Source organism: Homo sapiens, chromosome 18, assembly GCF_000001405.40.
Source record: "Homo sapiens chromosome 18, GRCh38.p14 Primary Assembly".
In the NCBI taxonomy this organism is placed as follows: Eukaryota; Metazoa; Chordata; class Mammalia; order Primates; family Hominidae; genus Homo; species Homo sapiens.
In genome coordinates, this window is record NC_000018.10 from 58,747,396 (window position 1) to 58,772,681 (window position 25,286).

The window sequence follows — 25,286 nt, forward strand, 5'->3', positions numbered from 1 at the left end:
CCTTTTCAGGAACATCTAGTCTTCACAGTATGTTTATCATATCAGTACTCAGGATTGGAAGATACTGTAGAGGACAAGCAGGAAGTGAATGTTGGGAAACCTCTCATTGCTAAATTAGACATGCATCGAGGTTTGGGAAGGAAGACTTGCTTTCAAACTTGTCTTATGTCTAATGGTCCTTACCAGAGTTCTGCAGCCACCTCAGGAGGAGCAGGGCATTATCACTCATTGCAAGACCCATTCCATGGTGTTTACCATTCACATCCTGGTAATCCAAGTAATGTTACACCAGCAGATAGCTGTCATTGCAGCCGGACTCCAGATGCATTTATTTCAAGTTTCGCTCACCATGCTTCATGTCATTTTAGTAGAAGTAATGTGCCAGTAGAGACAACTGATGAAATACCATTTAGTTTCTCTGACAGGCTCAGAATTTCTGAAAAATGACCTCCTTGTTTTTGAAAGTTAGCATAATTTTAGATGCCTGTGAAATAGTACTGCACTTACATAAAGTGAGACATTGTGAAAAGGCAAATTTGTATATGTAGAGAAAGAATAGTAGTAACTGTTTCATAGCAAACTTCAGGACTTTGAGATGTTGAAATTACATTATTTAATTACAGACTTCCTCTTTCTAAGATTTTGTGAATTGGTTGAATAGTTCTATACAAATGAAGTATGGAGGTGTGTATGTTTATATGTATATAACAAAATATTTTCATTGTGACCACTCTGAAGTAAGAGCAATGGGAATGGCATTATTGTAGAATAAGTCATTGTATTTTTAACACCAGAAAGAACCTTGCCGATCACCAGGCATAACCTAATTTTATCCATGGAAGAAACACAGAAAGGCATCTAAGTTAGAGCTGGCACCAGAACTGAGACCTCCAGAAATCTATTCCAGTATTTTTTCCACTACACAACTGCCTTCCTGACAGGTTCTGAGATAAGTGTTATGTTTGTAGATAGAGTGAAATATATTTATATATATATAAATATATACAGATACATATCTGTGTATTATCTCAAGGAATGTACAAACTTTAGTTTTTGATTATAAGGACTTCACTGCAAGTTTTAGTTAAGAGGTTTGTATATAAATCTGTTATAGAACAGGCTGAAATTTCTTGTTCATAAGATTATGAAACCACATGAGAAGTGATAAAATGTTTGTTAAAGCTAGATAGAGGTTAAGAATCAAGATATAATGGATAATTTTCATAGCTGCCTATCAGAATTTCCCAAATATTTAGCATCTTCCTTGATAATATGTATTTTCTTCTTGAATTTCACTGGCCTAATGAGATAATACTCTTATCTTTGGCTCTACCTAAAAGTTGGTTAAAAATGCAATTGGCATTAACAAGGAAAAATACTGAATTAGTAATTTTAAAAGTCTCACAAAGAAAATCCCAGGCCTAGATGGCTGCATTGTTGAATTCTGCCAAACATTAAAATTAGCACTAATTTTTTGCACACTGTTTCTAAAAGTAGGAGAGGAAAGAACACTTCCCAACTTACTCTAGGTCAGTATTACCCTGATACTAGACTAGACATCACAAGAAAACTATAAGCCAATATTCCTTATTAATACAAACACAAAAATCATTAACAAAAATATTAGCAAACTGAATCCAGCAACCTATAAAAAGGATTCTATATCATGACCAAGTGGAATTTATCCCAGGAATTCAAGGTTGGTTCAACATCTAAAAATCAAATAAGCTAATATACAGTCAGTTCTCATTATTCACAGTAATTATGTTCTACAGAATATTCTCCCATAAACACTGAATTAAATATGGAACAACTGCTTTTAGGAGAAAGTGTATTTGTGTATATGTGTGTATACATATGTTTATCTCACACACATTATGAGCTTGAATTCTTAATTCATCCTAGCAAATTCTACCTTATTTTACAGAAGTGAAAGTGAGGTATCAGAAGTGTTAAGTGACATGCCTGAGGCACCCCCCTAACAGGTGTCAGAGCTGAAATTCAAACCCCATCCAGCTGGCCCCGGAGCCAGAGCTTCTTGTACTACACAGAATTGCCCCTGCCATTTCCACCCTCCAGTCATTTCTCTATGAGACTGAAGCAGGAAGGCAGAGCATCATCTTGTTCAGCCTCAGCTGGGAACATGTGTACTGGGTGACTCAAATTTTTCACCCATTTACACATATCCACAAATGACTGCAAAAGTGCCACGGATATCAATTTGAGGGTTATAAATTTTAGCAAGTTGGTAAATTCACAAATACATAACCTTGAATAATGAGGATCAACTGTACCATATTTAATAAAGCACAAAACCCACACAGATTGTCTTATTACAGCATTTGATAAAATCCAAAACTCTTTCATAAAAACACTCAACAAACTTAGGAATAAAAGGAATCTTCCTAGATATGATAAATATAACATCTATGAAAAGCCCACACCTAACATTATACTTCATGGTGATAGACTGAAGGCTGAATGTTTTCCCCTTAAGATTGGGAAGAAGGACAAGGATGTTCACTCGGCACTACTTCTATTCAGCATTGTACTTGAAGTTCTAGCCACAGCAGTTAGGTTAGGAATTCAAGGTTTGTTCAACATCTAAAAATCAAATAAGCTAATAAAGAAAAGAGGTTTATACTGCAAAAGAAGTGAAACTATATGTATTCACAGTTGATACATAGTTGTATATAGAAAATGCTAAAGAATCCATAAAAAGTAATAAATGAGTTCAACAGGTTGCAGGATACAAGATCAGTTTTATTTCTCTACTAACAGCAAACATTCTGAAAATGAGAATAAAGAAATCCTATATACAGTAGCATCAAGAATAAAACTCCAACACGTTTAAAGAAATTAAGATCCAGATAAATGGAAAGACATCCATGTTCATGGATTGGAAGACTGAATATTGGTAAGATGGCAATGCTGCCCAAATTAGTCTACATATTCAACAATTCCTATCAAAATCCTAGCTGTATTTTTTGCAGAAATTGACAAACTGGTAAAATTGGTAGGGAAACGCAGGGGACCCAGAATAGCCAAAAAACCTTGGAAAAGAACAAAGTTGGAAGACGTACCAATTTCAAAAAGTGCTACCAAGCTACAATAAGACAGTGTAGGCATATGGATAGACATATCGATCAGAGGAATGGAACTGAACATCCAGAAATAAACCCATACATTTCTGGTCAACTTGTTTTCAACAAGGATGCCAATACCATCAATAGAGAAGGAGTGGTCTTTTCAACAAACGGTGCTGGGACAACTAACTGGTAGCTACGTGCACAGCAAAAGGATCCCTACCTTCCTACCACATTACAAATTCTAACTCAAAATGGATCATAGACCTCAATATAAGAGTTTAAACTCTTAGAAGAAAACAGAAGTAAATCTTTGTGATGTTGGGCTTAGGAATGGTTTCTTAGACATAATACCAAAAGCACAAGCAACAAAGGCAAACAGTAGATAAATGGGACTTCATCAAAATTAACTTTAGCGCCTTAAAGGACACCATTAAGAAAGTGAAGTTAACCCTCAGAATGGGAGAAAAATTTTTGAAAAATCATGTATCTGATAAAAAAACAAACAAACATGCAGGTGCTCAGCTGTGGTTACCACCGAGCAGCACTGTCCAGTGAACTTGCTGTGATGATGGGATGCTTGGTATCCGCACTCCCAGTGTGATAGCCTTTAGCCTCATGGGGTTGTTGAGCAGTTGAAATAATAGCTAGTGTGAGGAACTGAACATAAAATTTTAGTTTTAGGATGGGTGTGGTGGCTCACGCCTATAATCTCAGCACTTTGGGAGGCCAATGAAGGCGGATCACTTGAGCCCAGGAGTTCAAGACCAGCTTGACCAAGATGGCAAAACCCTGTCTCTATTAAAAATACAAAAAAATTAGCTGGGCATGGTGGCACACACCTGTAATCCCAGCTACTAGGGAGGCTGAGGCAGGAGAATCGTACTTCCCCTTTATACTCTTCTGTATATTTGATTTTTTTTTTTTTAAGACAGAGTCCTGGCTCTGTCGCCCAGGCTGGAGTGCAGCGACATAGTCTCAGCTCACTGCAGCATCCGTGGAGGCTGAAACAGGAGAATCGCATGAATTTTTTAAAAAATCTAAACATGTAATTTTAAAACGGGCTTAAGAAGAATGATAACAGTTTTGGTCTTCTTTTTTATCAACCATGCTTTTATTTTACTTGAATCTCGTGCCAATTGCTTTGTAATATTAAAGTAGGATTTACACAAGTGGAATTTAGAAAAGATGATAATCTATCAAATCTGTCAATACCAATTAGAATGTAATAAAGAAATTAGGATAGTGGAGGTTTGAGCAAGTAAAGGCTCACCCAAATTCAAAGCCAATACTTGATGCTGAGAGGGGATATTTTCTGGAAGGTAATTTTTAAAAATTAAAGTCACAATTATAAATTGTATATTTCCTAATAAAAGAAATCTCAACTCATGGGACAATTTGAATTTAAAACACTATTGTTCCTCATTCAGTGATGAACAAGTCAAAACGTTTCAGAAAAGAAAGCCTTTAAAGAAGAATCCTGGCACAGAAAAGGTCCATTTAGACATTGCCTTCTTCCCCCATCTCTAATGCCTCTTTTCAAATCTCTGACTTGCACATGAAGTAACAGTGAGGTGTCCTGTGCAGCAGTCGCAATTTTTTGACTTGTCAAATTGAAGAAATTCAATTATGTAGCCAGAGCTTAGATCACTGACATGTATACTGGCATAAGCTTTTTTTTGTTTGTTTTTAATTTTATTAGAAGTGGGATCTCATTTTGTTGCCCATGCTGGTCTCAAACACCTGTCTTCAAGTGATCCTCCTGCCTCAGCAGCATCAGTTTAATATCTAGATAAAATCTGATGTATGTAATTTTACTTTTAAGGGTTTTTTTCCAAACAGACGTCCTGACAATGTTGTTTCCTATTCCTTGAACATTCACCTGACGCTTATATACTGTCATTACTTTTATCTGTCAACTGATGTCAGCTACTCAATTTACACATTACTTTTGTGCATTTCATCCTGTTTCTCAGTTTGACATTGTCATTCAAATTCAGAGTTTGACACTGAAACCCTGGGCATGGTGGCTCACACCTGTAATCCCAGCACTTCGGGAGACTGCGGTAAGCAGATCATTTGAACCCAGGAGTTTGAGACTAGCCTTGGCAACATGGTGAAACCCCATCTCTACCAAAAAAAAAAAAAAAAAAAAAGCAAAAACAAAAATTAACTGGGCATAGTTGCACACACCTGTAGTCCCAGCTACTCAGGAGGCTGAAGTGGGACGATCGCTTGAGCCCAGAAGGCAGAGGTTACGGTGAGTAGAGATTGTGCCACTGCACTCCAGCCTGGACGACAGGGCAAGACGCTGTCTCAAAAATAAAATATTAGTAAAGAAGAGTACAATCAGAATATGAAAATGTGTAAATGTGCATATTCTCTTTTTTTCTAATTTGGTAGCATTAAAAATACTTAAGCATCAAAGTTTGGCTTTATGAAGAAGGAGTCTGAGACACCTCAGGTTTCAGCCCTTACTAATAGCGTGGCTCAAAGAGCGTTAACTTGCCTGTGCTTCTGTTTCCTTATCTGTAAAATGGGGATGATGCTGTAACATCAAAGAGCTTATAATACTTTCCAGAGCTGGCAGTACTAAATAAGACCATTCCTCTAAAGTGCCAGCATTTTGAAAAGCATCAACCCATCAACCTTGTGCTTTAAATCTGGCATTCTTAAAGCTATACCTGTAGGCAGTATAGAGTGTTTTTTTTTATTTGTTTTTTTGTTGTTGTCTTTTGAGTCTCACTCTGTCTCCCAGGCTGTAGTGCAGTGGCACGTCTTGGTTCGCCGCAACCTCCGCCTCCCAGGTTCAAGCGATTCTCGTGCCTCAGCCCCCCGCATAGCTGGCATTACAGGCACACACCACCACGCCCAGCTAATTTTTGTAGTTTTAGTAGTATCTACTAAAATAAACAGGGTTTCACCATGTTGGCCAGGCTGGTCTCAAACTCCTGACCTCAAGTGATCTGCCTGCCTCGGCCTCCCAAAGTGCTGGGATTACAGGCGTGAGTCACCATGCCCGGCCGGCAGTGTATATCTTCTAAAGTTGCAATTTTTGTTCACTCCAGAATCACTTTTCAAAAAGCATGCAGATTTAATGCCACCAGTTTGTGTTATGTATCTATCCCGCAAAACAGCTCTAAAGGTGATTTACTAAAAGATTAACAGCATTTATCTCTGGTGGGATAATTTTTCTTTGCTTGTTTACCTGTGTCTTGCAGATTTTACACAGTGAACAATGACTGTATAATTTTAAAATACAGATATGCACAATTGTGTAATGTAAATATGCTCAGCTTCAATACATTTAAGAACACATTTTTAACTTTTCGTAAGGAGTCTTCAGTTTAAAAGTACAGTGTCATTACAGAGTGCTTATTCTGTTACAAAATTAGTAAAGCTGATTCTGCCTCTAAATCTGAAGTAATTCCCACTTTTTTTCATGCTTGAGTTTAGTTGATAAATAGCATTTTAGATACTAAAAATGATTGGATGAGTATTTCTACATTAATAAGTTGCTAATTAGGCACCAGGGTAGCAGATAGAATGCCTTTCTGTGTGCTAGGTTTAAACATTTTACACACAGTCTTATTTAAAACAGCCTTGCAGTTTATAGATGAACTGATTGTTAGGCTAACCAGAGGTGTTACTATACCCTCCAGGATAACCCAGCTAGTAAGGGCAGAGCCAGGATGATTCAGACCCAGACCAGAGCCGGGTGTTTTGTCCACAGTACTGCTGCTGCTTATACCGTAACGGGAAAAGTACACAACAGTGTCTTAATATTTCATTCTTCCATGAAAAACACTTTTAAAATATTGAAACATTATAGGAGCAGAAGTACATCTCTAAATATACTTTTAGGTCACATTGAAAACATTTCCAAAGGATTTGACCTGAAGTTAATGTTGCTACATTATGCTCAATACAGCAGGCTGTTCTGCTAGGGAAATTGTTAATATTTTAAAAATATTTTCCTAAGCTTTAGCTTTACCACTTCCAAGTCTGTACAGACTGGTTATTTCTACATTACAAAGACAGTGACTCCCTCAAAGGCTGACAGTTTTTATAGTCTGTGTTTATAACATACACATCTATTCTTGCCAGATGTGGGTTCCTACATTGCCATCTAACCTCAGCATCCTTTATGTTATGCTCCAACTTGGGTAAGCGGCTTTGTTTCCTTCCCAATCTCCTGGTCAGACAGTTGACCTCACATCTTTGTCTAGTGGTTTTCAAACGTCAGAGTAGCCCCTTGTTGGAGCGGCAGCCTTGGGGTTCCCCACTGTTTTCCACATTGCCTTTCCAAGTAAGCTTTGGTCTGCGTTAAACCCCGCTGTTTGCTTTGATATTCTCCCCCCACACAGCCGTACCCCACACCAGCTGGGCGCCTTTGGGAGACCGCAGCCCTTAGAAAAGGGGAAGAAAAGCCTCCTGACTGCACAGTGAGGGCTGGAGGCGTCTGGCCTGGAGGGAGTCCAGGCCACTGGACTCCACACTGTCAGCCAGTGTGAGCTGCTGGTGACAGGGAAAGGCCATGTGAGCAGGTCCTGACCTGCAGTTCGGGCCCCTGGAGCAAACAGCACCAAACTTGGCCCCCAGATCAGCTTTGTCATTCAAGATGTGGCTTGCTAGCAGGTGTTATTAACAAGGCGAAGCACCATGTGGTATCTTCCCATTGGAATCAGTTGTTATTGCTAACTAGGTATTAAGTGTCTGAAAACCTGATTTTGTACTTTGGCATCACCTGGCCCAGTTATAGCTTTGTGGGGGATACAGTTTCAAGGTGTGCAGTGGCACTCTCACCTGCAAGGGAGAAGTGTGCTTGTTGGGGGAAGGTCAGATAGGGGGTACACAGGGCTGGCATGCTAAGACACGCTCTTCCTGGAAGTATACGTGCAGAAAGCCACATCATAGTCCAAGGCTTTATGAGCACAAAAGGAACACGGGGTGGGGCGGGGAGGGGATCGTCTAGATGAACCTGATGGTTAATGACAGCAGGCTAAGATGAGCCAAATGTCCCTCTCATTGGCCAGCCTTGCCAGTGAGGCTGAATGCTTCCAAGCTAAGAGTCTCTCTGTCCTGGACAGCACTTACAGGACCCTGCCAATGTCTGCTGCCCGAGGTGCTTTCTGACAGTTTGCTGTAGCTACAATAATCCATTTACTCAGCTCGCAGACTTGCCTTGGAGCCATTCTAGCTGTGTAAGCTGACTTCACACCCAGGCCTGACCCACGATGTGACTCGCAAAATTACCTTTTCCGGCATTTTCGTGTCCTGGCCCCTTGTTAGCAGCACGTGACCAACACTGGCCACCAAGGCCCAAGCTAGACTGGCCAACAGAGAGTGGAGGGCTGAGGGCTGAGGAGACCACAACCATTATTAGATAGGATTGATTCTGCCTGTAGACTGAAAAGAACATCACCAAATGATGTCGAGAAGGAGGATAAGGAAGACCATTCCATGATGCTCTGCTCGGCCGAGCTACCCTGGAGGCAGGCCCCTGCTGAGGAGAGGCAGGAGAAGGGATGTCTTCAGGTGAGCCAATGGGAGCAGCTGGCTTTCAAAATGCCACTTAAAAGGGAGGCTGGCTATTGGCCTACACTGCACAGAAGCTTCCTGACCAGATGCCACAGGGCCTGGGGTCACCAGTAAGCCTAGAGCTGAGACTCCCTGAGCCCATCTCCAAATACATAATCCGAGTGGGGCTGTGAGAGGACAGTGGGGCAGTGCGGGACCTACTCCTGGAGGACTCACCCGCTCCCCAAAGGGTATGTGATCCATGCCCCAGGCCAGTGCTGCTGGCTGAATGTGAGGAAGCTTGGACTCCATTCCTCAGGAGCCCAGGCACTTCAGCAGGAAGGCTGGGGACCTCTGGGGCCAGCACTAGGGGCAGAGCAACAGACGAGACTAGAGGGCAGAGGGCACGTGGGAGCTAAGCCTGGGGAGATGGACACCAATGCTCAGGTGAGCGGCCCTAGCTGGCAGCACTTTGTGTGTTTCGGCACGCATCGTTGCTGGGAGGAGTAAGCACTGGCCGTGCAACTCCACCAGGGGAGGATGATGGAGGGGGTGCCTGGTCTCTCCTGGCCTCTGTGCACGTGGCTCTTCCCTTGCTGATTGGAGTCAATGCCTTTCACTGTGATAAACCATAACCATGAGTGTTATGGCTTCTCTGAGTTCTGAGTTGTTCTCGTGAATTAATGAACCTGATCTTCCAGTGGAATGGGGTGGGCGGGAACCAGATTGGCTCGTGATGGCCTGTGATGTCCTAGAATAGCCAGGTCACAGGTGGGACTTCTCATTCAGGGAAGGTGATGAGCCCACAAAGCTGGGTCCAACCCAAAGGCTTCAGGGGCAAGTCTGCCACCCCAGCCAGCATTGGGTTTCTCCAAGTCCCTCTCCTTTCGGGGCTGTGTTATTTACCAATTCCTAAAGGGGACCTCAGAGACTAGCTCACAGGCCATCTCTCTCACTGCATCCTCCCTGGTCCCCTCAACAGGAAGCCACCTAGAGACAGAGAACAGTGCTTTCTGTGTGCATTTCACCCAAAAACGCACACAGAACGGAGACTAAACCATGTGTTGGCATGAATGACTCCTGACAATGACCCCGGATTGCACCAGCCAGACTGGGCTCATCACCTTCCCTGAATGAGAAGGCCCACCTCTGACCTGGCTACTCTAGGACATCACAGGCCATCATGAGCCAATCTGGTTCCCGCCCACCCCATTCCACTGGAAGATCAGGTTCATTAATTCACGAGAACAACTCAGAACTTAGAGAAGCCATAACACTCATGGTTATGGTTTATCACAGTGAAAGGCATAAACTCCAATCAGCAAGGGAAGAGCCACGTGCACAGAGGCCAGGAGAGACCAGGCACCCCCTCCATCATCCTCCCCTGGTGGAGTTGCACGGCCAGTGCTTACTCCTCCCAGCAACGATGCGTGCCGAAACACACAAAGTGCTGCCAGCTAGGGCCGCTCACCTGAGCATTGGTGTCCAAGGTTTCTACTAGGGGCTGGTCACCCAGACATGGCTGGCCGCCCAGTTGGCTGATCCTGGTTTCCAGCCCCTGCAGAGGTCAAGCTGATACCACTTGGTCCAAGGGCCCCCCATAGGTCACATTGTTAGCAGAGACTATCTGGTGGGGCCCAAGGCCCCCAGGTAAATAAACGCACTCTTATCAGGGAGGCAATTCCAAGGGCTTAGAGGTTGCCTCCTGGGAGCTGGGGATAAGGGCCAAACCTCTCCTTGTTGAAGGTTAATCATGACTGCACCCCAGGACACTTGAGTTTCTCTCACTCTGGAGTATCATGCCTGCTGTTGACTGCCTGGAATGCCTTCCTCACTTTGTCAGAGGCATTTGAACCAGAGTGACTCCATCTTGAATAGGGGCTGCATTCAGGAGGTTAGGCCTTCTCAGTCACAGGATGAGATAGGAGGTTGGCAGGACTGGCATCACAAGATACAGGTCACAAAGACCATGCCAATAAAACAGGATGCAGTAAAGAGGCCAGCCAAAACCCACCAAGACCAAGATGGTGATGAAAGTCACCTCTGATCATCCTCACTGCTACTTATTTGCTAATTATAATGCATTAGTATGCTAAAAGGCACTCCCACCAGCATCATGACAGTTTACAGATGCCATGCGATGTCCAGAAGTTACCCTATGTAGTCTAAAAAGGGGAGGGACCCTCAGTTCCAGGAAATCACTTTCCCAGAAAACTCATGAACAACCCCCCCCGGTTTTGCATATGATCAATAAGTAACCATGAATATACTCCGTCCAGCAGCCCATGCCACACCTCTGCCTATGGAGTAACTACTCTCATTCCTTTACTTTCTTAATAAACTCCTTTGATAAACTTTATGGACTCACCCTGAATTCTTTTGTGCACAAGATCCAAGAACACTCTCTTGGGGTCTGGATCAAGACCTCCTTCCAGTAAAAACTTTGCCAGGCTCACCCCTCTTCTTTCTTCAAATTGTACCTTAAGTGACACATCCTTCAGAAAAACTTACTGCTCAGCCTCCAAATTGGATAAAATTCCCCTTTGCACATTCCCAGGGAGCCTCGGCTTGCCCCATCAGGGGCCCTATCCCTCAGCACTGCACCACCTCTCCTTGTCCTCCTTTCCAGCATCAGGCAGACTCTGCAGGGCACGCCCAAGAGCTGGAGCTTAAGCTCTCTCCTTGGAGTCCCAGTCTCTTTCCCACTACACTCATCTCAGCAGACGACCACTCAGCTCACTCCATGGAGACACAGAGGCCATAGGAGCCCACGCCCCGTTCCCGTCCCCAGCCTCCATGCTCTCTCGTTCCCACCCCACTCTGCGCCCCCACCAAGCTCAGAGTTCCAGATACTTCTCCAGGGCTGAGCTTCACATGAGATCCCATCTCCTCTGTCAGCCTCTGGGTTTTTACCCATCTGTTGCCAAATTCACCCAGGATGCCAAATTCATAGAAGCACTCCCTAAGGACCTGCCCCTGCTCGCTCATCCGTGGGGCTCACATTGTCCTCCCTTTCTGATATATACAGCCTCTCCCTGGACACTGGCTTCTTGACCAGAGGCTACAACATCACCCCACAAGGCATTTCTCAATCCCGGGTGCCCTCTTCAACTCTCCCTCATTCTCTCCCACACTACTCAATAACACCACCTACACCCACATCTCCATTCCTTCACATCCTGTTCATGCCTCAGTCTCCCAATCCAACCTCAATTATGAGATGAATGAAAAATGGAGAATGCTTTTTTTTGAGATGGAGTCTCGCTCTGTTGCGAGGCTGGAGTGCAGTGGCATGATCTCAGCTCACTGCAACCTCCACCTTCCAGGTTCAAGCGACTCTCCTGCCTCAGCCTCCCAAGTAGCTGGGATTACAGGCGTGCGCCACCATGCCCAGCTAATTTTTGTATTTTTAGTAGAGACGGGGTTTCACCACATTGGCCAGGCTGATCTCAAACTCCTGGGTTCAGGTGATCCACCTGCCTTGGCCTCCCAAAGTGCTGGGATTACAGGCATGAGCCACCATGCCCGGCTGAAGAATGCCTTTTTGTTTGTTCAGTGTATGGCGGCTACAATCTACTTTGAGATACTTCAGACCTTTTTAAAGAATGAATTCCTGGCTGGGCGCAGTGGCTCATGCCTGTAATCCCAGCACTTTGGGAGGCCAAGGCGGGTGGATCACCTGATGCCAGGGGTTCGAGACCAGCCTGGCCAATGTGGTGAAACCCCATCTCTACTAAAAATACAAAAATTAGCTAGGCATGATGACAGGTGCCTGTAATCCCAGCTACTTGGGAGGCTGAAGCAGGAGAATCACTTGAACCTGGGAGGCGGAGGTTGCAGTGAGCTGAGATCACGCCATTGCACTCCAGTCTGGGTGACAGAGTGAGACTGTCTCCCAAAAAAAAAAAAAAAAAAAGAATGACTGATGAAACCTTAGTGAGGGAGGCACACGTGCATCCTAACCTAAGCAGGCGGTCCAGGGAGAGGGCACTGGCTCTCGCTTCAGCCAACCTTGCGAAGCCAACCTGAGATTCCCCATCCCTGGAAAAATGCTTCCTTTAAGATCTCCCAGATCATCTTTACATGGCTGTGCTGTCAATGAGCATTTTTGAATGTTCTCATTTGCTTTCAGAATTCTTCCTGGGCATTATCTGATCCCCTCAGATCTCACAGATGCCACATGCCCAAAAAACCTTGCTGCCGTTTATTTCTTCCTGAGGTGGAGTCTTCCCTTCAGTGGAAACAGCCCACCGTTGCTGCCACCCCTTCTGCTGGGACACCCTGGGGACTCGATGTCAACACTGCAAATCCCTAGAATTTACTGCAGTTCTTTTTGCTATGGGGAAGAGATGGGGTGAGCAGAAGTGCAAAAAGATGCCTTCTTGCCACCTAGTTTCTAGTCACTGCCTTCCTCTCCCAAATGATGCCTCCACTCATCCACTCTAAAGTCCCAATTCCTCAGCTTTCAGGCAGAGAGCCCACTACTACACCACTGTAAGTTGTGACTGACTAGCCCTCCCAGGAACATTGGAAAATTTTGAGGGAGAGAAAGAAAAAAGGAAGAGAAGGAATGAGACAGAAATCTCTCCTAGAAACAGCCACACATGGCCAGCGCAGTGGCTCACGCCTGTAATCCCAGTACTTTGGGAGGCCAAGATGGGCGGATCACGAGGTCAAGAGAACAAGACAATCCTGGCCAACATGGTGAAACCCCGTCTCTACTAAAATACAAAAAAATTAGCTGGGCATGGTGGCGCGTGCCTGTAGTCCCAGCTACTCTGGAGGCTGAGGCAGGGGAATCACTTGAACCTATGAGGCGGAGGTTGCAGTGAGCCAAGATCGTGCCAGCCTGGTGACAGAGCAAGTCTCCATCACAAAAAATAAATAAATAAAATACAAAAATAAATAGAAAAAGAAACAGCCACACATGGACCAGAAAGTTGAGCCTCTGGTGACTTGACTTCAGGTGCTGCGGCAGGCAGGTGGCCCAGGGAGTAACTGGGGAGTGAAAATGAGAATGCAGCACATGGACCAACTCCTGTTGAGCCTCTTAGCAAAAGCCAGCCCTGTCCAGTAGAGCATTTTCCAACTGTTGCAAAAATTACCCTATGAACACCTCTCTCCCCAGAGTTCAAACTCGCACCTTTGATGATACTGCTTCCTGCTGCCATTGCCTATTCTGATGTCAGAGCAGCCATTCCCATGGAAAATGGAATGGAAAGCTAAATGGAGAGTGAGTAGGGGTTAAGACTTCTCTAAAATACCGCGGCTGCCAGGCAATTTCATTAAGGAGAAACAGAGATGGACAATGTCATAAACATTCTCCAGCCATCAGAAGAAACCACTTCCAGGAAAAGTAAATTTTGTGGTCGTAAACACTCACAGCAAGGGCCAGGCCACAGGCAGCGTGGCACTGGCAGAGAGCAGTGGTTGAGGTGAAAGTCACCCTGGGGCCCAGGTCTCAAACTTACCCTGGCTAGACTGAACCAGAACATTTTTCCGTTTCTTTTCCGTAAATTAATGTTTAAAAGTTCCCCTCCCCACATAATCCCAATCTCACTTTCAAGAGATAATGCTATCTCTTCAGTGTATATTTCTTCCGGTTGTATTATGCATATAAATCTCCAGACCATATGGACACACACACACATATGCACACACACGTATGAGTATTATACACATACATGTGTACAGATATCTTTTATACATGTATACACACAGGTGTACACATATGTGCATATGTGAGATCATGCTGAGCTCACCGTTTTCCAGTTCCTACTTTCACTTCACAATAGCTCTTGGCCATCTTCCACCACAGTGTATTTAGAGTGACTCTATAAATAGAACGATTTCTAATGCACCTTTCAGATTTCAACTCTTTAAATAAATGCGACAAGGGCACATCTCGTGGTCCAAGGTCGTGACTGCTAAGGCCCAGAGAACACAACAAATTTGCTGGCTTCAGCCGTGCTGACCTGCTGGAAGATGGGTACAGGCTCCTAAGTGGATGCTGCCATTTGTGCGCCTCCCAGCCACGCACCCCACCCTCATATACACACTATCCCTTGAGGAACATTTACCTTCCTTCCCGCCCCAGGTGTTTGTGACTTGGTGGGTAGTGGGTGACAGAGATGCACCTGTGTCTTCAGAACACAGGCCACTGAAGGACAGCAGGCCCGGGGCTGGTGGGGGCCTGAGCATGCCCTCCCTCACCAGGCTGACCAGGCTTGCATGCAGTGGGGCAGAGGCAGTGGAACTATCCAGAAAACATGCCCATCCCCCCGCCCAAGCCATCACAATGGGAGCTGAGTACAGGGTCACTAGGACAAAGAGTGAATGGAACCATCTTGAAAACAGCGGTGATGTTTCCTGTCTCCGCTGGCACAGGCCTCCGTGGAGCCCACGTTCTTTTCACAGAGTTCAAGTTGCTCAAAGAAATAAGGAGAGGCCACTTGTGAGCAGTGGTCCTCCAGGTGAAACCCAGAGGGCGTCGGGATGCCCACAGGTTCCTCAGGAAACTCATGCGGGGAGACATGGGGGTGCCAGGGACACGCCTCCACCCCACCATGGCTGCCCATAGCAGGGTCCGTGGCAAAGGGACCAGGTGGCCCATGGGTTAGTGGGAGCAGATGCCCAACCACCTCCTCCAGGCCCCACTGCCCCCTTGGGCCACCACAGAGACCTCCAACTTCTCCATCCTCTCTGTCTCTCCCTCTCTCTCCCCACTTGCTCTCTTCCTCAAGGGCCCTTTCCCTGTCAACTACCACTGGCACCCGGCTGGAGGAACAGGGCAGGTTTGCCTGTTAGTACCTGCGGCAACTCATCCCCCAGCCCCTAACTTTGAGGCGATCCCATTTTCCTCCTGTATTCCCTGAGCTTGACACAGCTGAATGTGGAAGACCCCAGGGCAACAAGAGGCTTGGGAAGGAAGGTCACACTGGAGTCGCGGGGGAAGGGTCACCCAGGCACAGGTACTCAGCATAGACTGCAGATGCTGGCCAGCCAGTCCTACACCCAGCTTACTGCAGAGGCACGACCACACTTCTGCTGCAAGGCTGGGGGAGACTCTGTGGTTTCGGTGAGGAAGAGGACAAGGAGGTGAGCGAGCCAGGAACAGCCCCCGCATGTCTCTTATCACGCCTTCATTCCCCTCTCCCCGCAGCACTGAGCTTCTGTGTTTTCTTTCCCCCAAGACTGTTCTCTCGGCTGCTGGTGGCAAAGGAGAGGGCTGCGGGGGAAGGAGAGAGAAAGGGGGGACCCCAGATGATCCTCCTATTCCCTAAGCTCTCAAAGTCTTCAGATATCTACAGCTTTGCTGCTCTAACCGCTCATTGTGAAAAGAATGAGTCTTATACTTGAATACAACCCTAAAATCAAAAGAATGACATCTAACCCGCTGTTCACCATAAATCTTTTTTTTTTTTAATTTTTGAGACAGAATCTCACTCTATCACCCAGGCTGGAGTGCAGTGGCATGATCTCGGCTCACTCCAACTTCTGCCTCCTGGGTTCAATTGATTCTCCTACCTCAGCTTCCTCAGTAGCTGGGATTAGGGGTGTGCACCACCATGCCCAGCTGATTTTTGCATTTTTAGTAGCAACGGGATTTCACCATGTTGGCCAGGCTGGTCTCAAACTCCTAACCTCAAGTAATCTGTCTACCTTGGCGTCCTAAATTGCTGGGATTACAGGCGTGAGCCACAGCGCCCAGCTCGGCCCATAAATAATTTAAAAGACTGCATTTCTACTGTCTGACTCCATTTCTGTGAAGAGTCCAGGAAAGGCAAATCTCTAGTGATAGGGTAGGCTACCAGGGACTGGGGGCCCGGGAAGGTGGGAGAAACCGGAAGGGACTGCCAATGGGTATGGGGACTCTTTTAGGGTGATAAAAAAATGTTCTAAAATTGATTGTGATGATCAATGATCTACAAATATACTAAATTGGTGAATGTCTGGCATGTGAATTATTTCTCAATAAAGCTGGTTTCTTTTAGAGAAAGTAGTTCAAAATTTCTGAGGCTGTTTGGTTTTTGTTTTTTTAAAAAAGCAAATCATTGGCCCCGGCGTGGTAGCTCACGCCTGTAATCCCAGCACTTTAGGAAGCTGAGGTAGGCAGATCACTTGAGGGTCAGGAGTTCGAGACCAGCCTGGCTAACATGGTGAAACCCCATCTCTACTAAAAATACAAAAATTAGCCAGGTGCAGTGGCACACACCTGTAGTCCCAGCTACTTGGGAGGCTAAAGCAGGAGAACTGCTGGAACCCAGGAGGTGGAGCCACTGCACTCCAGCTATGAGAGGATAAATGCCCACTATTGTAAGGCCCAAGCTAGTGGTAATTTATTAGAACAACCCTAGGAAACTAATGCAGAAAGGCGGAGGGGAACCGCAAGCTCCTTTGTGATCCACCCCTTTGTCTTCCGAAAGGCTTCGTTTAGATTCAGAGCCTTCTGTTGCAGTCTCTTGCTCCCCCTCCTGGCTCAAAGGAAGAACTGTGCCCCCTTCAGTCCCACGGAGATTTGATCTCTCTAATGAAGTGGGAGGAGAGAGGAGTTCGCAAAACTTAGAAATGCTGTTGCAAGAAAAAAAAATTTTTTTTTAGACAGGGTGTCTGTCACCCAGGCTGGAGTGCAGTGGCTTGATCACGGCTCACTGCAGCCTCGACCGCCAGGGCTCAAGTGATTCTCCACTATGCCCCGCTAATTTTGTTTATTTTTTGTAGGGATGGGTCTTGCTATATTGCCCAGGCTGGTCTTAAACTCCTGGGCTCAAGCAATTCTCCCACCTCAGCCTCTCAAAGTGCTGGGATTATAGGTGTAAGCCACCGTGCCTAGCAGAAAAAATAATTTTAATGGTGCATTATTTTCCCATCTTGAGAGAAGAGTGAAGACTTAGCACTTGACCTGAAAGCTTAGCTCCATCCTATGCCCTCATCATTCCTGGTAATTTCAACTCCACGTTGATGACCCACACAATTCTTCTCTTGGCTCTTTGGCTTCCTCATCCACAGAGACTTCTTGTAACCCAACCATACACCACCCAAGAGATATCCTGGACCTTGTCATCACAAAAATTACACTCTTCCAAAATCATGGATTTAAATTTTGTCCTCTCTGATTACAAAGCCCTATCTTTCAGCCCACTTTCTCAAGTGCCCCTTCAATATCACAAGTCACCAGAATCAAGATGCTAACACTTGACCCCTCTTATTTCACTCAAATCTCGACTTATTTTCTTGTCTAACCAGATTCTTTGTTTCGTCTATTCGCTCTCACAAACACCAACTCCCCTGATCCATTCTTTTACTTTCAACTGGCAAAACTCCAACCCCCACCAACTTCCACACACTTCTCTCTACTTAAGCCCCTCATTCTCCTTCTCCTCCTACCCTCCCACTCCTGAGAGCCTTGCTTCACCCGTCACTGAAAAACTGAAGCCATCACAGCGTATTATTAACCCTCTTGCATCGATAGTTTTCTTTCTTCCTGTTACAATGGAGGACTTGTCACTCCTGTCTAACCCCTCCACGTAGACTCTGGGTTGCATCCCCTTTTATTTATTTTCTTTTAGAGACAGGTTCTCACTCTCTAGCCCAGGCTAGAGTACAGTGGTATAATCATAGCTCACTGCAGCCTCAACCTCCTGGGCTCAAGCAATCCTCCCACCTCAGCCTCCCGAGTAGCTGGACTATAAGCACATGTCACCATGCCCAGCTAATTTATTTTTATTTTTGTAGACAGGGTCTTGCTATGTCACCCAGGCTGGTCTCAACCTCCTGGGCTCAAGTGATCCTCCCATCTCAGCCTCCCAAAGTGCTCGGATTACAGGTGTGAGCCACCATGCCCAGCCTCTCCATCTCCTTTTTGTCTTTCCTAAATTTCATTTCTTTGGTTATCTCCCCTCTAATATGATCAATATGCCTCATTTTGACCAATTATTCTCACTGGCACACAGGCATGCTGTCAGAGCCAGCTTCGTGGGCATGAGACCTCTACAGACACACAGCACCCTGTGCCTGGTTTAATATTCTGCCGTCACTGTTTTTAAATTCTTAATAATTTTTTAACAAGGAGCCAGTCCTGCCTGCTCTAGTATCTGCCATTTTCTCTGCTTCCCCTCTCTAAACTGCCAAAACAGAGCCTAGGTGAGCCATCTCTATTTCTACTTGTATCTCTACTTTGTCACTTTTACTAATTCTGTTTTTTTAGACAGAGTCTTATTCTGTCATCCAGGTTGAAGTGCGGTGGCGCAATCACAGTGAGCTCAAGAGATCCTCCCACCTCAGCCTCCCAATTAGCTGGGACCACAAGCATGTGCCACTATGCCTGGCTAATTTTTAAATTTTTGTAGACATGGGGTCTCACTGTGTTGCCCAGGCTGGTCTCCAAATCCTAGAATCAAGGGATCCACCCACCTTGGCCTCCCAAAGTGCTGGGATTACAGGCATCAGAGCCACTGCACCCAGTCCACTTTTACTAACTCTGAAAGTGTTTCAATCCCAACACTTTTCTCCTAAAAACAAAAAACCATCCTCGTCAATGTTTCCATATGGCCTCAATTTGGTGACATTCAAAGAACCTTTTCTGAAGCCATCCCTGAAGACTCTCCTCTTGCAGTTCTCCACTTTATTCTCCAACCTGGCAGCCTGTTGCTTTCATTCCCAGCATTTTTCTCATGCAAAGTTGTATAATTGTGAACGTGTTTTTTGCCTTCTTTCACTCTAAGCTCTGTGGGCAGACATCATGTGTCCTCGTCCCTGACACAGTCCCTGACGCTCAGTGGATGTTTACTGAGTGAATAAATGAGGGAATGGATGTGCAAGAGAGTTCAAGAACTTGAAAAAAGTTCAAGGGATCAGTAATGTATACACTCAGGAAAATTTTTAAAAGCTAGAAAGATCTGATAGTAAAAGGAGAGGCAAAAAAACTGGATAACCTGGAAAGAAAATGAGCAAATAAAAAATCATTTACATTACGATACCTGGAAGGATAGGTGGGCGTTGTCAGAAGGTGGAATACTGAAGTGTAAGATTTCGAAAACACTTCTGCTAGTGTAAGTGCTGGCCAGTTCTGGGGTGGTCATGAGTGGGGGTGGATTGAGTAAATTGGAAGTGAAGGTCACTGGGATTCAGATCGAGGAACTGATCTGAGGTTGCTGGATAGGTTGCTCAAATGGCTATTCAAGTCATCAGATGAACAGGAGAAGTTGAAGTCAAAGGGAAGACGTTGCAGTGAGTACAGTGGCACGTGCCTGTAGTCCCAGCTACTAGGGAGGCTGAGGCAGGAGGATCCCTTGAGGCCAGGAGTTCGAGGCTGCAGTGAGCCATGACCACTCCTGTGAACAGCCACTGCACTCCAGCCTGGGCAACATACTGAGATACCCCACATTTTCAGTGAATAATCTTGACTAACACTTATAAAGTGCCTACTATGTGCCAGATACTATTCTAAGTGCTTTGCATATATTTATATATTCTATATACAAATAATATTAACAACAACCCTATGAAGCATATTACTGTTATCATCCCCAGTTTATAGATGAAAAATTGAGGCAAGAGAGGAAACTCTGGGGCTTGGCGAGGTGGCTCACGCCTGTAATCCCAGCACTGTGAGAGGCCAAGACAGGCAGATCATCTGAGGTCAAGAGTTCAAGACCAGTCTGGCCAACATGGTGAAACCCCATCTCTACTAAAAATACAAAAAAATTAGCCAGGCGTGGTAGTGTGCAGCTGTAATCCCAGCTACTTGGGAGGCTGAGGCAGGAGAACTGCTTGAACCTGGGAGGCGGAGGTTACAACCAGCAGAGATCGCACCACTGTACTCCAGCCTGGGCGACAGAGCAAGACTCCATCTTAAAAAAAAAAAAAAAGAGAGAGAGAGAGAGAGAGGAAACTCGGCCAAGGTCAGACAGCTAGCAAATAGTAGAGCTGGGAAAGGACTCCGGCTGTGTGGCTCCAGAGCGCAAGGCCTCTGGTCTCGACAGGAAGATGACAGACATAAGAGACCATAATGCTGGGGGTTAAAAGGTGGAAGAGAAGCAGGAACCAGATCTGAAGTCCTTTGTATTTCATGCTGAGTTTTGTAATGACCCTCTTGGCAATTGGCAGACTTTGAAGGAGGTCAGGCCAGGGCATGACAGAATCAGATTAATGTTCTGGAAAGATCTGTCTGGCTGCAGAGTCAGACGGGAATGAATGGTCTGGAGGCGGGAGGGCCCTTCAGAGCCTCTTGCAACAAAGAGGGACTGATAGTGGGCAGGCGCCTACACCTCTGCTTTGGAAAGGAAATGGGGCAGGTGGCAATGTCGGAAAAGGAGCCCAGGACGGCACAGCCTGCAGGAGCCGCAGCCGCCCCATGGGGACAGTTCGAGCTCACCCGGTCCCTAGGCAAGAGAGCACAGTCCTGGCCACCTAGCCCAGAGGGCATGATGGGCCCAGCGAGAAACCCTGGGGCCCCCGCGCGGGGACTGCTCGAAGTCCGCCCGGGGGCCTTGGGAGCTGGGTGCACCCCTTAGAGGAGCCCGGCTTCGTGGGCCCCAGCCTGGCCTTGGGTCTCCCTTCGCCTTCTGAGCTCGGGGCCGGCCGGGAGCTGGGTACCCAGCAGAGGGCAGCACAGGCTTGCGTTCGTCCCGGTCTGAGCGCCGTCTGCACCTGCCCGGGGCCCTGCAGCTGCGCAGCGCACGGAGCAGTGGTGCGCTCTCACCCACCCGCGAGCTCCCACGCACATCCAGGTCCTCCCCGTCCAGCTCGTGGCTCAATACAATACCTAGAAGGCCTGGGGGCCCTCAGGAAGACCGAGGGACAGCAGCCAGCGCGGCTGGGATGACAGCCAGACTCGGGCATGCATCAACAGGCCAGGACAAGTGGCCGGCTCCCTCCTCTCCCATGCCCATGCCTGTGATGCTGCCAAAGGGCAGAGAAATATCAAAAAGCTCCACCGAATCTCCTGGGAGGGAGGCCCCTGCCTTGAGAACAGTCAACCAGATACCCATCTGGGGCCCCTGGGGCAGGGGGCAGGGCACGGAAGCAAAAGCGTTTAGATTCTAGCGGAGTTTTGAAAACTACCCACCCAGCAGGGAAAAACAAAAAGGACTGAAATCCTGGCAGGGAGCTTCCCTGACTCTGGCCTCTCCAAACTGGATGTCAAATCATGAATAGAGGTCCCTAGGTCCCTCCTACTCTAGTTTTTTGTTTTTATAATTGCGGCTTTTTTAACTATTATTTTTAATTCTTGTAAAACATAACATTTGCCATGTTAACCATTTTTAAGTATACAGTTCTATTTTGCATTGTTCCCACTCTCGATTTTTACTGGGATTTCTCACGTACAGAATGAGACACTGAGAAACACTATAAGGAAAAGACAGACCTGGAGACTGAGGAAAGTACATTGGGAATTCTAAGGTGGGCGTGAGAGGTTTTGCAGCCGCTGTGCCTTACGAACTTTCCAGGGCACCTCTGTCCTGAGGGCTTCCACTCTGTACATCCGTCATGCCACCCTCCACGCCCTCCCCATACACAGCCCAGACAGAACCCATGGCTCATCTGGGAGTGGTCAGTGAGCACCCCAAAGGGATCCCTGCCCATATTCAGAAACGGGAACAAGGCTATTTGAAAACTTTGCAATGTTATGGCAGAAATAATCTTTGCAGGATGTAAATGAAAAGTTCCAAGCAATTACGACAAATTTTTGAGCAATTAATGCACTGGGTCTTTAGCCTTCAATGAGCTGGAAAGCTGAGCAAGACAGAACTTGAACCCCTAATAATTATAACAGCTAATACTTACAGAGCGCTATGAGCCTGGCACAGTGCTAACCATTTTACTCATTCAGGTCTTTGCAGTGGAAATGCTGCTATTATCCCTGTTTTACAGAGGAGAAAATCAAAGCCCTGAGGGCTAGCTGGCTTGCTCAAGGTCACAGGGGAAGTAAATGGTGGGGCCTGGATTTGGACCCAGGCAGACTGGCTCCAATAACATGGCTTATGATGGCACCCTTGCCTGATGCTGTGCTGGGAGCTGTATAGACTGAGCCAGTTCCCACTCTGGGAGGCTCAGAAGCTTGTGGAAGGGTGAGTCTGCTAATTTTTTTCTTGGTTTTGGTTTGAGATGGGGTCTCACACTGTCACCCAGGCTGGAGCACAGTGGTGCAATCATGGCTCACTGCAGCCTCAAACTCCCAGGGTCAAGCCATCCTCCCACCTCAGCCTCCAGAGTAGCTGGGACTACAGGTGCATGCCACCATGCTCTAGCTAATTTTAACATTTTTTGTAGAGACAGGGTTTTGCCATGTTGCCCAGGCTGGTCTCAAAATCCTGGCTTCAAGCAATCCTCCTGCCTCGACCTCCCAAAGTGCTAGGATTACAGGTGGGAGTCACTGCACCTAGCCCAGTCCGTCAACTTTGAATAATGTCAGAGTCACTGGTCTTGGGGACCTAGAATTGCCCTAAATCTCTCCATTTTGACAGTAAAATTTCACATGAATACTTTAACAAGGCTTATCAATGCAACCACAGGCTGTCTACGTGCATTCACCAACAATCCTCTTTCCACCAGTCCTTCTGTTTCAGCCTTAGTACACACACACAAAAAATTTAATGTTGCCAAAGGACTTGAGAAAATCCAGAATGTTTTCATACACACATGTCTTGGGATGTGCTGCCTATGGAAGACCTTCCTTTGCCTGTCCCTTCTCCTTCATCCTTGACTTTGCTGTCCAGCTCTTTAAGGGACTTGAGCCTGAGAGCACATGGCCAGAGAGAGGACAGCCCAGGGAGGTGGTGTTATCTCTTGATAACACCAGAAGAGCAGAGAGCAAAAGTAGAACCGGAAGTGTGGTCTGGTTTTCCTTTTTCCTGTACTTGGATTTTAAAGAAGCATATGAGCTCTTATATTTCAAGCTAGTGGTAGGTAGAAAAGAAAAAGTTTTGAAAACAATGTTATTTCAGGTGCACCCAGCAGCTGTGCACACCATGACTTTAACCTCTCCTTTCTTTCACTCCATAGCTGACCTTCTCCCTCAACCTATACCTACTGCATTTTCACTGGGGAAGCAGCGTGAGAAGGAAACAAGTAGCCATGCTAATTGGTGACAACCCACTTCTATTTATTTATCATCACTTAGCTATACTTATCAGAGAACAAAAAATATAGTCTTTCATGCCCAGCACTGGATCAATTTGCAGCTGAGGCATTTATGCTTATACACTTTCCTTTTTCCCTTTGTTATCTGTTCATTATTTTCATTTGTATATACAAGTTGGTGATATTTGATTGCACTTTGAGGCCGAAGCATTTCAACAGATGTTGGATAATAAGGAAGAAAGAACACAGAGGCCGCCCTGCCTGCTGCTCAGGTGGGCTGTGTTTGTATCTGGTTCTTTCAGGATCTGTTTCATTTTTCAGAATATTGTCAAGGTTCACATGGCCCAGTGCAGCTGCATTTGGTGGCTTTTAGAAGTTTCGCAGTCCCAGCCGGGTGCGGTGGCTCACACCTGTAATCCCAGCACTTTGGGAGGCTGAGGTGGGCAGATCACTGGAGGTCAGGAGTTCTGACTGACATGGTGAAACCCCCTCTCTACTAAAAATACAAAAAATTAGCCAGGCATGGTGGCGTGCACCTGTAATCCTAGCTACTCAGGAGGCTGAGGCACAAAGAATCACTTGAACCCAGGAAGTGGAGGTTGCAGTGAGCCGAGATTGCACCACTGCATTCCAACCTGGGTGACAGAGTGAGACTTGATCTCAAAAAAAAAAATGCAATCCCTTTTTTCAGGGAGTAGGCCAGTGAGGAATCTTATCCCAGCACTCATCAGTTAAAACCAACTATTTTTGGCTTTCTCAGCAATGGGTCAGATTTTGCAGAGGGAATAGGATATGAATTCTGTGTTTGGGGGGGTGTCACTCTTCTGGGGGTTTTCTCCTCGCATCCTATTGGATCAACGTCAATGTCCATTTCCATTCCCTCAGACCCGGTTTTTCTACGTTGGCATGACTGGCATCCGGAGGCCCGATAATTTCTTGTTGCTGGGAGCTCTCCTGAGAATCGCGGGATATTTTAGCAGTATCCCTGGCCTCTGCCCCCTAGCTGCTAGTAACACCAACTTCCACCCCTCACCTCCAGTTGTGACAGCCAAAAATATCTCCAGACATTGCCAAACGCTCCCTGGGGGAACACAATTGCCCCTGTTTGAGAATCACTAAGGTAATGGGTAGAAGCCAGGGATTCTGCAAAGCATCCTCCAATACACAGGACAGCCCCCCATAACACAGAGCATCAACCCAAAACGACAATAACTCTGAGGTTGAGAAACCTTGCCCTGTTTAACTTGGCAGAAGTCGAGTTTTTTGGATTTTGCAACCTAACAGATTCCTAATACATCCCTCAATAAGATTTTTTTGCCCTGATACAATCAAGGAGATTGAAAGAATTCTGTTAAAGATAAACACTTTGAAGAGGGAACATGTGCTTATCCTAAACCTGGGGCCATCTGACACTTTGTAGAGATGTAGCAAACCCCTTCGAAGGGAAAGGGGAACTGACCAGTGGGATGCTGAGGTTGTGATAGGCGATGTGACAATCTCAGTGGTGACCCAAGAGGCCACCTTTCCCCTTCCACGGTTTCTGTAAAGAGTCTCCCACTGGGGACTTCACAGCCACAATATTAGGAGAGGGGGCAG

General features: G+C 46.1%; 1 protein-coding gene and 1 long non-coding RNA gene across 5 annotated transcripts in view, besides 4 other annotated features; one reads left to right on the forward strand and one right to left on the reverse strand.

The window, feature by feature from the left end:
- Positions 1-7,082, forward strand: part of MALT1 (MALT1 paracaspase) — an 83,013-nt gene extending 75,931 nt beyond the window's left edge. For both annotated transcript variants that reach the window (NM_006785.4, NM_173844.3), the window contains one exon: positions 10-7,082. In NM_006785.4, the coding sequence (NP_006776.1) occupies positions 10-447 (438 nt within the window). In that variant the 3' untranslated portion in view covers positions 448-7,082. The remainder of the gene's footprint in view (positions 1-9) is intronic.
- LOC105372146 (uncharacterized) overlaps positions 1-25,286 on the reverse strand; it is a 107,606-nt gene that overhangs the window by 74,783 nt on the left and 7,537 nt on the right. The window lies entirely within an intron of this gene.
- Positions 14,588-14,637: an enhancer, noted in NCBI's record as "active region_13401". NCBI's record gives its function as "activates an Ori minimal core promoter by ATAC-STARR-seq in GM12878 lymphoblastoid cells {active_cell/tissue: GM12878}" and the evidence as "EXISTENCE:reporter gene assay evidence [ECO:0000049][PMID:35858748]".
- Positions 16,759-17,028: an enhancer, noted in NCBI's record as "active region_13402". NCBI's record gives its function as "activates an Ori minimal core promoter by ATAC-STARR-seq in GM12878 lymphoblastoid cells {active_cell/tissue: GM12878}" and the evidence as "EXISTENCE:reporter gene assay evidence [ECO:0000049][PMID:35858748]".
- Positions 21,147-21,296: a silencer, noted in NCBI's record as "silent region_9488". NCBI's record gives its function as "represses an Ori minimal core promoter by ATAC-STARR-seq in GM12878 lymphoblastoid cells {active_cell/tissue: GM12878}" and the evidence as "EXISTENCE:reporter gene assay evidence [ECO:0000049][PMID:35858748]".
- Positions 21,377-21,526: an enhancer, noted in NCBI's record as "active region_13403". NCBI's record gives its function as "activates an Ori minimal core promoter by ATAC-STARR-seq in GM12878 lymphoblastoid cells {active_cell/tissue: GM12878}" and the evidence as "EXISTENCE:reporter gene assay evidence [ECO:0000049][PMID:35858748]".